At 36.9% G+C, this 14,946-nt stretch overlaps 1 pseudogene across 2 annotated transcripts in view, besides 3 other annotated features; it reads right to left on the bottom strand.

Moving 5' to 3' along the window:
* Positions 1–14,946, bottom strand: part of LOC100996643 (methylenetetrahydrofolate dehydrogenase (NADP+ dependent) 1 like pseudogene) — a 45,510-nt pseudogene that overhangs the window by 10,812 nt on the left and 19,752 nt on the right. The window contains exon 4 of one of the 2 annotated variants that reach the window (NR_160664.1): positions 99–467. The exons of the other annotated variant lie outside the window; for it this stretch is intronic. The product of NR_160664.1 is annotated as a methylenetetrahydrofolate dehydrogenase (NADP+ dependent) 1 like pseudogene, transcript variant 1 (transcript). Of the gene's footprint in view, positions 1–98; positions 468–14,946 lie in introns of those variants that run through there. 2 annotated transcript variants of the gene reach the window in all.
* Positions 1,841–2,364: an enhancer, noted in NCBI's record as "OCT4-NANOG-H3K27ac-H3K4me1 hESC enhancer chr9:67320644-67321167 (GRCh37/hg19 assembly coordinates)". NCBI's record gives its function as "activates a minimal SCP1, AML or CMV promoter by ChIP-STARR-seq in naive and primed H9 embryonic stem cells {active_cell/tissue: H9 hESC(naive and primed)}" and the evidence as "EXISTENCE:reporter gene assay evidence [ECO:0000049][PMID:30033119]".
* Positions 2,365–2,889: an enhancer, noted in NCBI's record as "OCT4-NANOG-H3K27ac-H3K4me1 hESC enhancer chr9:67320119-67320643 (GRCh37/hg19 assembly coordinates)". NCBI's record gives its function as "activates a minimal SCP1, AML or CMV promoter by ChIP-STARR-seq in naive H9 embryonic stem cells {active_cell/tissue: H9 hESC(naive)}" and the evidence as "EXISTENCE:reporter gene assay evidence [ECO:0000049][PMID:30033119]".
* Positions 4,574–5,106: an enhancer, noted in NCBI's record as "OCT4-NANOG hESC enhancer chr9:67317902-67318434 (GRCh37/hg19 assembly coordinates)". NCBI's record gives its function as "activates a minimal SCP1, AML or CMV promoter by ChIP-STARR-seq in primed H9 embryonic stem cells {active_cell/tissue: H9 hESC(primed)}" and the evidence as "EXISTENCE:reporter gene assay evidence [ECO:0000049][PMID:30033119]".

Raw genomic sequence — 14,946 nt, 5'->3', positions numbered from 1 at the left:
GTTGTGTTCTGGGAGCACAGTGGCTTGGCCTCCGCCACCAGCAGCAGCTTGAAGAGTTCCTGCTGTTCCACATGCTTGCCAACAATTGGCCTCTTCAGTTTTTTTTTTTTTTTTTTTTTTTTAGGTTTTCAGTGCCTGCCTGGACTTGTGTTTTCATTTAGATTTTGGTTTCTTAGAACTTTCGTTATTCTCTTCACAGCTTAACAATGCATTTGAAAAGATTTGTTTTCATGTGGAGTATTCAGTTTTGTAATAGGAGGGTTGTTCAAGGCATCAGTCTGCCACTCTGCTAGAAACAGAATTCTCCCAGGCATTTCTTTTTATATAAAGTAGTTAATGAAATTTTGAACCATCTTACATGAATTTTTATTAAAATACACTTCAGGATGTGGTGCCCATTATCCATTCTACTCTTTTGTAACAAGTAGATTTCTCTGAATTCTTGAATTTGAAAACAATTGGGGTTCCTAAACAGAGAATATGGAATATTATTGGGGATGATGTCTTTAATAATACATCTCAAGATAGGAGAAACTTTTTCTATATAGTTGACTTTAATAAAAGCCTAGGGCAAAACTTTCAATATATTAACAGTATTTATGAGGCAGTTAAGAATTTGGGTCATCTCTGTCTCCACTAAAAATACAAAAAGTTAGCCAGGTGTGGCGGCGGGTGCCTGTAGTCCCTGCTACTTGGGAGGCTGAGGCAGGAGAATGGTGTGAACCCGGGAGGTGGAGGTTGCAGTGAGCCGAGATCATGCCACTGCACTTTAGCCTGGGCAACAGAGCGAGACTGCGTATCAAAAAAAAAAAAAAAAAAGAATTTGGGTCATCTCAATTAAACATAGAATTTAAGATTACATTGAAAATTCAGTACAGAGTATTTTGCCTTCATCTGTTGTTTGAGTCTCCCTTCTTTCAGCCATCCTTCCATCAGAAATAGAATACCAAGTTAAACTTCTTAATTAGAATCAGGAATCAGGACTCTTTGGCTGCTGATTGAAGGAAGAACTGTCCTTAAATCCAGAGTGGGCCGGGCATGGTGGCTCATGCCTGTAATCCTAGCACTTTGGGAGGCCAAGGCAGATGGATCACCTGAGGTCAGGAGTTCAAGAGCAGCATGACCAACATGGTGAAACCCCATCTCTACTGAAAATACAAAAATTAGCCGGGCGTGGTGGTGTGTGCCTATAGTCCCAGATACTTCGGAGGCTGAGATAGGAGAATTGCTTGAACCTGGGAGGTGGAGGTTATGTGAGCCAAGATCACGCCACTCCACTCTAGCCTGGGCGACAGGGCGAGACTCCATCTCAAAAAAAAAAAAAAAAAAAATCCAGAGTGGTTGGTAGTCAAGACAAAAAGCTAGATTATTTTTGTTAGTCTGGGAACTAAAAAAAATAGTTGTAACTTTGAAGCCTTTTTATGGATCAACATGAAGTTTGAGGGATCTCAAACAGAAAGGGCATCCTGGTGGCAAAGGTTAATCATTACCAGACTGCAAGAGTAGTTTCAATGGCAAGAAAGCAGCAACAGAATCAATGAAAACAAAGCAATGATTAGAATGCCCTTTCCCCTTCTCCTCCTGACTTGTAGACACTGATTGTCTTCCTTGGACTTAGGGAACCCCTTAGGTTCTTGAAAAAATTCAATGATCAGGCTATAGTAGATGGTCCCCAGTACACAGCACAAGATTTTTTGATAAACTGGACATTTTGAAACCCAAATAACTAATTAGAAAAATCAAACATGTGAAACTACTTTATCCTATGCATAGGGGTTATACTGGAAATAAAATGTACAACATTGGAATCCTGAAGGAGAAAAGTCCTAAAAGTTTCAATATCAAGAATCCTGCACCTGCTGCTACTTATCTAGCCTTTTGCTTGATTTCTGGCTGATGAACTTGCACAACTCTTGAAAACTTAAAAACTTGAAAATTTGTCACTTGAAAACTACTTGAACCAAACTATGAAATCTCACCTGATATATAAGATGCAATTGTTACAATTATTTTAAACTTCAATTTACTGTTTTGCTCTATCAAAAGAAAGTTTCAACTCTGTTAGTTGAGTACACACATCCTAAACAAGTTTCTGAGAATGCTTCTGTCTAGTTTTTATGGGAAGATATTTCCTTTTTCACCTTAGGCCTGAATGCGCTCCAAATGTGCACTTCCAGATACTACAAAAAGAGTGTTTCAAACCTGCTCTGTGAAAGGGAATGTTCAACTCTGTGACTTGAATGCAAACATCACAGAGATGTTTCTGAGAATGCTTCTGTCTAGATTTTATATGAAGATATTCCTGTTTCCAATGAAATCCTCAAAGCTATCCAAATATCCACTTGCAGATTCTACAAAAAGAGTGTTTCAAAACTGCTCTATCAAAAGAAAGGTTCAACTCTGTCAGTTGAGTACACACATCACAAACAAGTTTCTGAGAATGCTTCTGTCTAGTTTTTATGGGAAGATATTTCCTTTTTCACCATAGGCCACAAAGCGCTCCAAATGTCCAGTTGCAGATACTACAAAAAGAGTGTTTCAAACCTGCTCTATGAAAGCGAATGTTCAACTTTGTGACTTGAATGCAAACATCACAAAGACGTTTCTGATAATGCTTCTGTCTAGATTTTATCTGAAGATATTCCCGTTTCTAACGAAAACCTCAAAGCTATCCAAATATCCACTTGCAGATTCTACAAAAAGAGTGTTTCAAAACTGCTGTATCAAAGGAAAGGTTCAACTCTGTGAGTTCAGTACACACATCACAAGGAAGATTCTGAGAATTCTTCTGTCTAGTTTTTATGGGAAGATATTTCCTTTTTCACAATAGTCCTCAACGCCCTCCGAGTTTCCATTTGCAGATTCGACAAAAAGAGTGTCTTAAAACTGCTCTGTGAAAAGGAATATTCAACTCACTGAGTTGATTGCAAGCACCAAAAAGAAGTTTCTGAGAATGCTTCTGTCTAGTTTTTATGTGAAGATATTCCCGTTTCCAATGAAAGCTGCCAAGCTATCCAAATATCCACTTGTAGATACTACAAAAAGACTGTTTCAAACTGGTGTATCAAAAGAAATGTTAAACTCTGTGAGTTGAGTACACACATCACAAAGAGGTTTCTGAGAATGCTTCTCTCTTGTTTTTATGTGAAGATATTCCTGTTTCCAACAAAATCCTCAAAGCTATCCATATATCCACTTGCAGATTCTACAAAAAGTGTGTTTCAAAACTGCTCTATCAAAAGAAAAGTTCAACTCTGTGAGTTGAGTACACACATCACAAAGAAGTTTCTGAGAATTCTTCTGTCTAGTTTTTATGGAAGATATTTCCTTTCTCACCATAGGCCTCAAAGCGCTCCAAGTTTCCACTTCCATATACTACAAAAATTGTGTTTCCAAACTGCTCTATGAAAAGGAATGTTCAACTCAGTGAGTTGAATGCAAGCATCACAAAGAAGTTTCTGAGAATGCTTCTCTCTAGTTTCTATGTGAAGTTATTCCCGTTTCCAATGAAATACTCAAAGCTGTCCTAATATCCACTGGTAAAGTCTACAAAAACAGTTTTTCAAAACTGCCTTTTCAAAGGAAAGGTTTAACTCTGTAAGTTGAGTAAACACGTCACAAAGTAGTTTCTGAGAATCCTTCCGTCCACTTTTTAGGTGAAGATATTTCGTTTTTCACCATAGGTCTCAAATCGCTCCAAATGTCCACATGCAGATTTCACAAAAAGAGAGTTTCAAAACTGCTCTATGAAAGGGAATGTTCAACTCTGTGAGTGGAATGCAAAGATAACAAAGAAGTTTCTGAGAATGCTTCTGTCTAGTTTTTACGTGAAGATATTCCCCTTTACAACGAAAGCCTCAAAGCTATCTAAATATCCACTTGCAGATTCTAAAAAGGAGTGTTTCAAACGTGCTGTATCAAAAGAAAGGTTAAACTCTGTGAGTTGAGTACACACATGACAAAGAAGTTTCTGAGAATGCTTCTGTCTCATTTTTATGTGAGGATATTTCGTTTTTTACCATAGGCCTCAAAGCGCTCCAAATGTCCACTACCAGATACAAAAAAAAGAGTGTTTCAGAACTTCTGTATGAAAAGGAATGTTCAACTCTGAGAGTTGAATGCAAACATCACAAAGTGGTTTCTGAGAATGCTTCTGTCTGGTTTTTATGTGAAGATAATCCCGTTTCCAATGAAATCCTCAAAGATATCCAAATATGCACTTGCAGATTTTACAAAAAGTGTGTTTCAAAACAGCTCTATCAAAAGAAAAGTTCAACTCTGTTAATTGAGTACACACATCACAAAGAAGTTTCTGAGAGTTCTTCTGTCTAGTTTTTATGGGAAGATATTTCGTTTTTCACCATAGGCCTCAAAGCGCTCCAAGTTTCCACTTACAGATTCTACAAAAAAAGTGTTTCAAAACTACTCTATGAAAAGGAATGTTCAACTCAGTGAGTTGATTGCAAGCACCACAAAGAAGTTTCTGAGAATGCTTCTGTGTAGTTTTTATGTGAAGGGATACCCGTTTCCAACGAAGGCCTCAAAGCTGTCCAAACATCCACTTGCAAATACTACAACAAAAGTGGTTCCAATCTGCTCTATCAAAAGAAAGATTCAACTCTGTGAGTTGAATGCACACATCACAAAGAAGTTTCTGAGAATGCTTCTGTATAGTTTTTAATTGAAGATATTCCCGTTTCCAACGAAATCCTCAAAGCTATCCAAATATCCACTTGCAGATTCTACAAAAAGAGTGTTTCAAACCTGCTCTATCAAAAGAAAAATTCAACTCTGTGAGTTGAATGCACACATCACTAAGAGGTTTCAGAGAATGCTTCTGTCTAGTCTTTATGTGAAGGTATTCCTGTTTCCAGTGAAGGCCTCAGAGCGGTCCAAATATCCCCTTACGAAGTCTACTAAAAGAGTGTTTCAAAACTGCTCGATAAGGTATGTTCAAATCTGTGAGTTGAATGCAAACATCACAAAGAAGTTTCTGAGAATGCTTCTGTCTAGTTTTTATGTGAAGTTATTTCCTTTTCTACCATTGGCCTCAAAGCGCTGCAAATGTCCACTTGCAGATTCTACAAAAAAGTATTTCAAACCTGCTCTATCAAAAGAAAGGTTCAACTCTCTGAGTTGAATGCACACATCACAAAGAAGTTTCCGAGAATTCTTCTTTCTGGTTTTTATCTAAAAATATTTCCATTTCCACCGTAGGCCTAAGAGCGATCCAAATGTCCACTTGCAGATTATACAAAAACAGTGTCTCAAAACTGCTCTATCGAAAAGAAGGTTCAACTCTGTGAATTGAATGCACACATCACAAAGAAGTTTCTGAGAATGCTTCTGTCTAGTGTTTATGTGAAGGTATTCCCGTTTCCACCGAAGACCTCAAAGCACTCCAAATATCCACTTGCAGATTCTACAAAAAGAGTGTTTCAAAACTGTTCTGTCAAGAGCAATGGTGAACTCCATGAGTTGAATGCACAAATCACAAAGAAGTTTCTGAGAATGCTTCTGTCTAGTTTTTGTGTGATGATATTTCCTTTTCCAACATAGGCCTCAGAGCAGTCCAAGTATCCACTTGCAGATTCTACAAAAAGAGTGCTGCAAAACTGCTCTGACTAAAGGAATGTTGAACTCTTTGAGTTGAATGCACACATCACAAAGTAGTTTCTGTGAATGCTTCTATCTAGTTTCTGTATGAACATATTTCCTTTTCTACCATAGGTCTCAAAGCGCTCCAAATATCCACCTGCAGATTCTACAAAAAGAGTGTTTCAAAACTGCTCTACCAAAAGGAAGTTTCAACTCTCTGAGTTTAATGCAGACAGCACAAAGAAGTTTCTCTGACTACTTCTGTGTTGTTTTTATTTAAAGATATTTCCTTTTCCAACACAGAGCGCAAAGGGCTCCAAATATCCACTTGCAGTTTCTTCAAAAGAGAGATTCTAAACTGCCCAATCAAAAGATAGGTTCATCTTTGTGAGTTGAATGCATACATCACAAAGAAGTTTGTCTGAATGGTTCTGTGTAGTTTTATTTAAAGATAATTCCTTTTCCACCATAGGGCACAAATGGCTCCAAATATCCACTTGTAGATTCTACAAAACCAGAGATTCAAAACTGCTCATTGAGAAGATAAGTTCAACTCAGTGATTTGAATGTACACATCACGAAGAAGTTTCTTGGAATGTTTCTGTGCAGTTTTTATTGAAGATATTTCCTTTTCCACCATAGGGCGCATTGGGCTCCAAATATCATCTTGCAGATGCTAGAAAAAGAGAAACTCTAAACTGCTCAATCAACAGATAGGTTCAACTCTGTGAGTTGAATGCCCACATCACAAAGAAGTTTCTCAGAATGCTTCTGAGTAGTTTTTATGTGAAGATGTTTCCTTTTCCACAATAGGCGGCAAAGTTCTCCAAATATCCACTTGAAGATTCTACAAAAACGGTGTTTCAAAACTGCTCAATGAAAAGAAAGTTTCAACCCTGTGAGATGAATGCACACATCACAAAGAAGTTTCTCAGAATCCTTCTGTGTTGTTTTTATGAGAAGATATTTCCTTACCACTGTGGGCCTCAGTGGGCTCCAAATATCCACTTCCATATTCTACAAAAAGAGTGTTTCAAAACTGCTCACTCATGAGATAAATTCATCCCTGTGAGATGAATTCACACGTCACGAAGTAGTTTCACAGAATGCTTCTGTTAATTTTTATGTGAGGATATTTGCTTTTCCACAGTAGTCCTCAAAGGGCTCCAAATATCCACCTGCAGATTCTGCAAAAAGAGAGATTCAAAACTGCTGAATCAAAAGATATTTTCAACTCTGTGAGTTGAATGCACACATCGCAAAGAAGTTTGTCTGAATGCTTCTGTGTAGTTTTTATTTGAAGATATTTCCTTTTCCACCACAGGCCCCAAACTGATCCAAATATCCACATGCAGATCCTTCAAAGGAAGTGTTTCAAAACTGTTCGATCAAAAGAAAGGTTCAATTCTGTGAGATGAATGCACACATCACAAAGAAGTTTCTCAGAAGGCATTTGTGTAGTTTTTATGTGAAGATGTTTCCTTTTCCTCCATAGGCCTCAAATCGCTCCCAATGTCCACTTGCAGATTCTACAAAAAGAGTGTTTCAAAGCTGCTCAATCAAAAGAAATGTTCAGCTCTGTGAGATGAATGCACACATCACAAAGAAGTTTCTCAGAATGCTTCTGTCTAGTTTTTAAGAGAAGATATTTCCCTTTCCTCTAGAATTCCCAAAGCCCTCCAACTTTGCAGATACTACAAAAAGAGTGTTTCAAAACTGCTCAATCAAAAGAATATTTCAACTCTGTGAGTTGAATGCACACATCACAAAGAAGTTTCTCAGAATGTTTCTGTCTAGTTTTTATGTGAAGATATTTCCTTTTCCACCATAGGCCCCAAAGCACTCAAAATATCCACTTGCAGATTCTACAAAAACAGTGTTTCAGAACTGCTCAATCAAGAGAAACATTCAACTCTGTGAGATGAATGCATAGATGACAGAGGAGTTTCTCAGAATGCTTCTGTCTGGTTTTGATGTGAAGATATTTACTTTTCCACCATAGAATGTAAAGCACTCCAAATATCCACTTGCAGACACTACAAAAAGAGTATTTCAAAAGTGCTAAATCAAAAGAAAAGTTCAACTCTGTGAGGTGAATGCACACATTACAAAGAAGTTTCTCAGAATGCTTCTTTCTTGTCTTTATGTGAAGATATTTCCTTTTCCATTCAGAACCTCGTAGCAGTGTTCTGTAATCCTGTGTGAGGGACAAACACTCAGAATCCAGCCACTGTGTACTGGAATCCTATCTGAGGGCACACATTTAAAATCCAGATGTAGTCTCCTTGCTTTAGTGAATACACTTATCTCCTTTTCCTGCTATACATTTAGGCAAATTATTTTTCTGTATCTTAAATAAATGGTAAATACCTGAAATTTCTTACTTTTTCCAGGCACAGTGTCTTCACTATGTAGCTGTAGAAGTATAACTATTTTTGTCTGTGTCACAATTTTGTACTCAGGAACCCTGGCCATGTCACTAGCCAAACGGACATAACTTATGGAATACATGGACAGCATCCGGTTGATATGCTCTAGAGAAAAATAGCAGCTACCATAGACTTCAGGAAAGACACATCGAGCCAATGACAAAAATGTGGGTTTCCTACCTTCAGGGAGTCTAAGAATGCAGTAGAAAGTGATGTGGAGAAAACATCTTTCAAATGGAAGGAAGGGATAGGGAAAGGAAGACTGTTAGAGGCTCTTTTGAATGTTAGAGGCAACATAAAACATATTTGGATGTGTATTCTAAATAAAATGCAAATGTCAAGAAGGATGTCAGCTGTGAGTGGGACTCAGAGAAAGAGAAACGTTTTGGACTACAGAGGCCTGCAGTACAAGTGGATCTACAATTTTGTTTAGGGAATCCAATGCCTCAGGTATCTATGAGAGGCAGAATTTTCCTATGGAGCCAGCGGCAAGGCTCCAGAGGAGAAATACAGTACAAGCCACTTTATTTTGGAGTAAAAGCCTTTTGTACAAAAATTACCCGCCCCCTCCTTTTTTGAGAAACAATTTCACATTGGGATACTAATAAGAAGGAATGCTCAGTCATGAATAAGGGTGACCCCGTTGTGATCTGAGCATTATAGGATCATAGTAACTACAACCAGTCTTCCATCATTCCATGGAAATTGCATGTATGCCACGTTGCCTTCTCAGTTTCCAAGGGACCAATTAATGAACAGGCTACTCACATTTTCAGCATCCTACTCCTGACACACTCCCACCCTTCTTTCTATTTATCTGTGATTCATAGAGATTTGCCTATGACTGGATTCCTGAGGAGAAAAAAGTCTGGATTACAGATGGCATTCCTTGTTATGGAAGGCCCTTCCTTCTGAAAGTCTATTTCTATCATGTTCTTTCCCTGTGCTGTCAAAGGGTCACCCCTTTGTACAAAGGAGAAGAGAAATCCATCAAGTAAATAAAATTTCATTTACCTTTGTAAAAAATATTTCTACCAATTCACGTGGAGGACCTTATGGTTTGGTCCGATAATCAGAGATTTGAAAGAACCTGATATTGTTGGCCAGCAGATTAGAAAAGAGTTATTAGAGAGAGATGGCTCAAGTGATAATAACTGTGTGCCTTGTGAATGCTCACCTAAACCAAAGATCACTGAAGATAATGTATTTTACCATAATGTTTTAATCTCAGGTAAATGCCAATTAGGAGACAAACACTTGTTTATCTCCTGATTGGTATTGATCTGAATTAAACTGTCTGCCATTTGGAGAAATTTAAATGCTATTTTAAACACACAGTCTTGTTACTTGAGTTATTTATGATCTTAAGCGGCTCCCCTCCTTTTGTGGGTTAGATTGTGTCTTCAAAAAGAAAATATATATATTAGAGTTCTAGCCCCTGATGTCTGTGAGTATGACTTAATTTGAAATCAAATTATTTGCAGATGCTGTATAATTATGATATGCTAGATGAGCTCATAATGCATTAGAGTGGGCCATAATTCAATATGGTTGATATCCTCATAAGAAGGGAAGAGGAAACAGAGACGCAGGGAGGAGATGGCCATGTGAGGATGGAGGTAGAGAATAAAGTGAGGTATCCTCCAGCCAAGCAATGACAATGAAGCTCAGTGATCACCCGGTGCTAGAAGAAGCAAGAAAGGATTTTTTTCCAGGTCATTCAGAGAAAAATGCAGCACTGCTAACTCCTTCATTTAAGATTTCTAGCTTTCTGAACCGTAAAAGAATAACTTTATCTCATTTTAAGCGACCTAATGTGAACCACTTTGTCACAGCAGATATAGGAAATTACACCTCCTTAAAGAATGCAGAATCCTGGCCCGTGCTTGCCTCATACCTATTGAATGAGAATCTAAGGGCTCTAGAATCTGCATTTTGAAACTAATACATAATACGCAAAGAGAACTCACTAAGTACTCTACATGCACTTCATCCTCACAAGCCATGAAGTAGTTTACTATTATAATTCTCATTTTACATATGGGAAACTGGAGCATTAAAAGATTAAGTAATTTGCCTACAGTCACTCACATAACCAGAAAGTGGAAGAGCTGGGATTCAATCCCAGTTCCAGACATCCTGATATCCTGGGTTCAGACACCACACACTTAGCAACTATTACACACTTAGCATTATTATTATTATTATTATTATTATTATTATTATTTTAATCACCATCTCCACCTTCTTAAGCACTCAAAAGTTGAAATCCAGTGGTGTGTTGCTGTTTCCATTCATAGCAAGTTATAGCCAAAATCATAAATTACACTTCCTCCAAAACAGTATACTGACTTCTCATCTCTTTTTAAAATCCCTTCCGTCGTTCTTTTCTTTCTTCTCTCCTCTTTTCTTTTCTCTTTTCTTTCTCTTGCTCTGTCACCCAGGCTGGAGTGCAGTGGCATCATCTCGGCTCACTGCGACCTCCACCTCCTGGGTTCAAGCGATTCTCCTGTCTCAGCCTCTCAAGTAGCTAGGATTACAGGTGCCCAACACCATGCCCGTTTAATTTTTGTATTTTTAGTAGAGATGGGGTTTCACATCTTGGCCAGGCTGGTCTTGAACTGCTGATGTCGTGATCCATCCACCTCGGCCTCCCAAAGTGCTGGGATTACAGGCATGAGCCACTGTGCCCAGCCTCTTTCACCCATTGAAATCTCATTTCAACAATTACCATCTTTTTTGAGTGGTATTTTTGAAGTTATAAATGAATTCCCTATAATACATAGTGAGAATATTTATGGGAGCTTCCTAGTTGACTTTCTAAACATTCTGCATTGCTTCTCATTTCCTTCTTTAAATTTCCTTCTACCCTGACTTCCTTAAGACCACTCAATGTTGGCCCCATGCTTTCATTTTTTTCTTTTTTCTTTTTTCTTTTTTTTTTTTTTTTTTTTTTTGAGATGAAGTTTCCCTCTTTTCACCCAGGCTGGAGTGCAACAGTGTGATCTCAGCTCACTGCAACCTCCGCCTCCCAGTTTCAAGAGACTCTCCTGCCTCAGCCTCCCGAGTAGCTGCGATTACAAGCATGTGCCACCATGCCCAGCTAATTTTGTATTTTTACTAGAGATGGGGTTTCTTCATGTTGGTCAGGCTGGTCTCAAACTCCCAACCTCAGGTGATCCGCCCGCCTCGGCCTCCCAAAGTGCTGGGATTATAGGCATGAGCCACAATGCCCAGCCCATGCTTTCTTTTTAATAACTCCTTGCTGCCTAGTTTTTTCATGTCCACTGTGTAACTACTAGTCTTAATGGGTATTTCTTTTCTTACTATTCTGCACCAATGTTTCCCTGATTGACAGTAGTTTTCCTGAAATGTATTCTTGGAATGGAATTGTATGATACGCTTAGAAAATTCTGCATACCTTATACTTCAGAATGTGTATGTAAAAGACTCCAGTAAATGATCCAGGGAAGCAAAAATATTTGTGTGTTTTGCGAGTTGTATTCATATGTGTATAAAATTCCCACAGCACTTTGGGTAACAATGCTCTGCACACTTTTCCTGTGCTCCTTTTATCCATTCCCACACTTCCAGCATTTCCTTTGACGTTTGATTTTCTTTATTTTTTTTTACTCCAATATTTTCCTGTAGGTTTCAAACCTATATTTTAAAATATCAACTGATTCTCCCCCTCTGTCTTCACCACCTGCATCTCAAATTTGACATAGCCATAAACACATTTTATATTTTGGCAAATAAATCTATTTCTTTTAAAGCATTGCCCATCTCAGCTAATGATGATAATATCAAGCCAGTCGCCAAGAAAATTTAGAGTATTTATACCTTGACTCTTCCTTCTAAATGAATTATTAAGTTCAGCTGTTTCTACCTTGAATTACCTTTCTATTCTGCCATTTCTCTTCTGTGTTGCTGCTAATGTTTTAATTTAGTCATTCATCACATCATGCCTGTACTGCTGGAATAATCTTGACTGTTCTTTCTGACTTTTTCTTCTAACTGCATCTCAAAAACTTCTATCTAGAATGAAAATAAGTATATATATATACTATATATACATATATACATATACACTATATGTATGTATATAGTATAAGTATAGACATTCTATATACTATATATACTATATATTTATATACACACACACCCACTATGCTTTTAAAAATTGTTTACTTATGTCCCATCATTGAAGGGTAAAATACAAAATCACTGATATTGAGAGACATTCTCCTCAATCATTTAACATTTTCCTTCACAAACCTGTGCTGTAGCCACACCCAGAACAGGTTATCTTCCTTCAAAGACACACACACTTTTCTATCACTCTCCTTTTACTCCTTCTATTCCATCTGCTTAGACCATTTTTTACTTGTTTTCTGTCTATCTCCATTCATTTTTCAGGATCCAATTAAAATATTGATACAAAGGCTGAGATCTTTATATCTTCTCTTATTTAAATTCCTGGAGCACCAGATAACTTCCTCTATTGTAATTCTTACTGTATACAACCATAACTCTCATTTGAAAGCAATGTACATAATTATAAAATCAGATGTATCATAAAATGATTGGTATCAATATGTGAAAAAAAATCTTTAATGTTGAAAGTACAAGATTACAAGCCATCTGAAAGTAACTGATCATCAATCAGAGAAAAATGCTCATCATTTTTTGATGAAACCAAAAGTAAGAGAATTTGGTATTAATCTACTACATCATTGGTAAGTTACATATTAATTATTGTGAGAAAGAAATAATTGACGGAATTTAAAGAAAATCGGTTTTCCTTTATTTTTATTATTCTACCTAAAAGTATTATATCTAATTAAAATCATGATTTTAAAATTATCCCATCAAGTATGTCATCACACTAAAATCCATTGTATTTAATTTCTCAACTGAGCAATTGTATTCAATTGTATTCAATTTCTCTACTGAAAAATTAATATAAAAGCAATCACATAGCATTCAGAAATTAATAAATATTTAAAGAAATTAAACAGCATTAGATTTTCTTGTAAAATTTTTTTCTTCTCTCAGTATGGCTTATGTCTCTGCTTCTATTGAACATAGCACAATTCAAGTATTAATACAGCACCTTTATAAAAGTTGTGAATCTCAGAAATGAACAAGCTTACCTCCCTAGTTATTTATTAAAAGTTACAAGTCACTTTTTTTTAACTTCCTAATAATCTTAGAGGGGTATATTTTGTGTTTTTGTTTGCTATATCTTTCATAAAGAAGATCCCTAATGATTTGAAAGTTAGAACCAATTTTCTGAAGGATTGAGCCACGCTCCTTGAAGTTGTGTGTTTGTGGGTGGCACACTATGTCTTTTGCAGACCCGGAACCTACCCCTTGGTCTAGAACATATTTTCCTCCACCTGCCTTTTAAGTTTTTATTTCAGCAGGAGTGGGTGGTTTGTGGTTGACCGAAAATAGAACGGGCTACAAAAGCCCTTCCTGTTTGATATTGAATCTGCTATTTGAGTCACCCTTACATTATGAACTGACTGTTAATTAACACATTTGGTAAGAGAATATCCTGATCTGCTTTGCGTGTGAGGCTCTCCCAGTAATAAACAAAGAAGCATAATCAAACAAGATTTTAATTTCTCTATGTCCTGTTAGAAATTCAGATATAATTCAAGTCATCTTGGAAATTTTAAGTTGCATTCTGATGTCGTCTCTGTTCTGGCCATTGTGCAATGGGCCTTCAAATGTTGTAGTAGAGGCCAACTGATATTCCATTGTTATTCATTTATACACAGGTACATATATGGTGTGTGTATGCAAATATATAAATATTCATATATGTGTACATGTGTACATACATACATATGGAGGTAATACAAGTTTGCATTGTTTTTAAAATTTTTTACCCAAATTAACAATGACTCTATTGCATATCTTTATTGGTTATATCACATTTATATAAATAAATTTATATCAGTGACAATTTCCAAGTAAGTGAAATTTGAATTGGATTCAGGGTTTTATTTTTTTGAAATTTCTGATTAAAATTACTTGATTTTTTAAATTTTATCTTAAAATATTCAAGTCCCATTTGTAAAAAAAAAAAATAGAGGATGAAAATGAAGTGTGTCTTTATGAGTCACAAATTTTTATTTTACTTTACTAATTGTTAAAATAATATTTTTTCCATGAGCATTTTATAATGCCCTCTTTATTTTTTTGGTGATGTATTTTTTTATTATTATTATTATACTTTAAGTTTTAGGGTACATGTGCACAATGTGCAGGTTAGTTACATATGTATACATGTGCCATGCTGGTGCACTGCACCCACTAACTCGTCATCTAGCATTAGGAATATCTCCCAATGCTATCCCTCCCCCCTCCCCCCACCCCACAACAGTCCCCAGAGTGTGATGTTCCCCTTCCTGTGTCCATGTGTTCTCATTGTTCAATTCCCACCTATGAGTGAGAATATGCGGTGTTTGGTTTTTTGTTCTTGCGATAGTTTGCTGAGAATGATGATTTCCAATTTCATCCATGTCCCTACAAAGGACATGAACTCCTCATTTTTTATGGCTGCATAGTATTCCATGGTGTATATGTGCCACATTTTCTGAATCCAGTCTATCATTGTTGGACATTTGGGTTGGTTCCAAGTCTTTGCTATTGTGAATAATGCCACAATAAACATACGTGTGCATGTGTCTTTATAGCAGCATGATTTATAGTCCTTTGGGCATATAGCCAGTAATGGGATGGCTGGGTCAAATGGTATTTCTAGTTCTAGATCCCTGAGGAATGGCCACACTGACTTCCACAGTGGTTGAACTAGTTTACAGTCCCACCAACAGTGTAAAAGTGTTCCTATTTCTCCACATCCTCTCCAGTACCTGTTGTTTCCTGACTTTTTAATGATTGCCAT

Source organism: Homo sapiens, chromosome 9, assembly GCF_000001405.40.
Source record: "Homo sapiens chromosome 9, GRCh38.p14 Primary Assembly".
NCBI lineage: Eukaryota > Metazoa > Chordata > Mammalia > Primates > Hominidae > Homo > Homo sapiens.
This window is presented reverse-complemented; position numbering and strand designations above follow the sequence as displayed.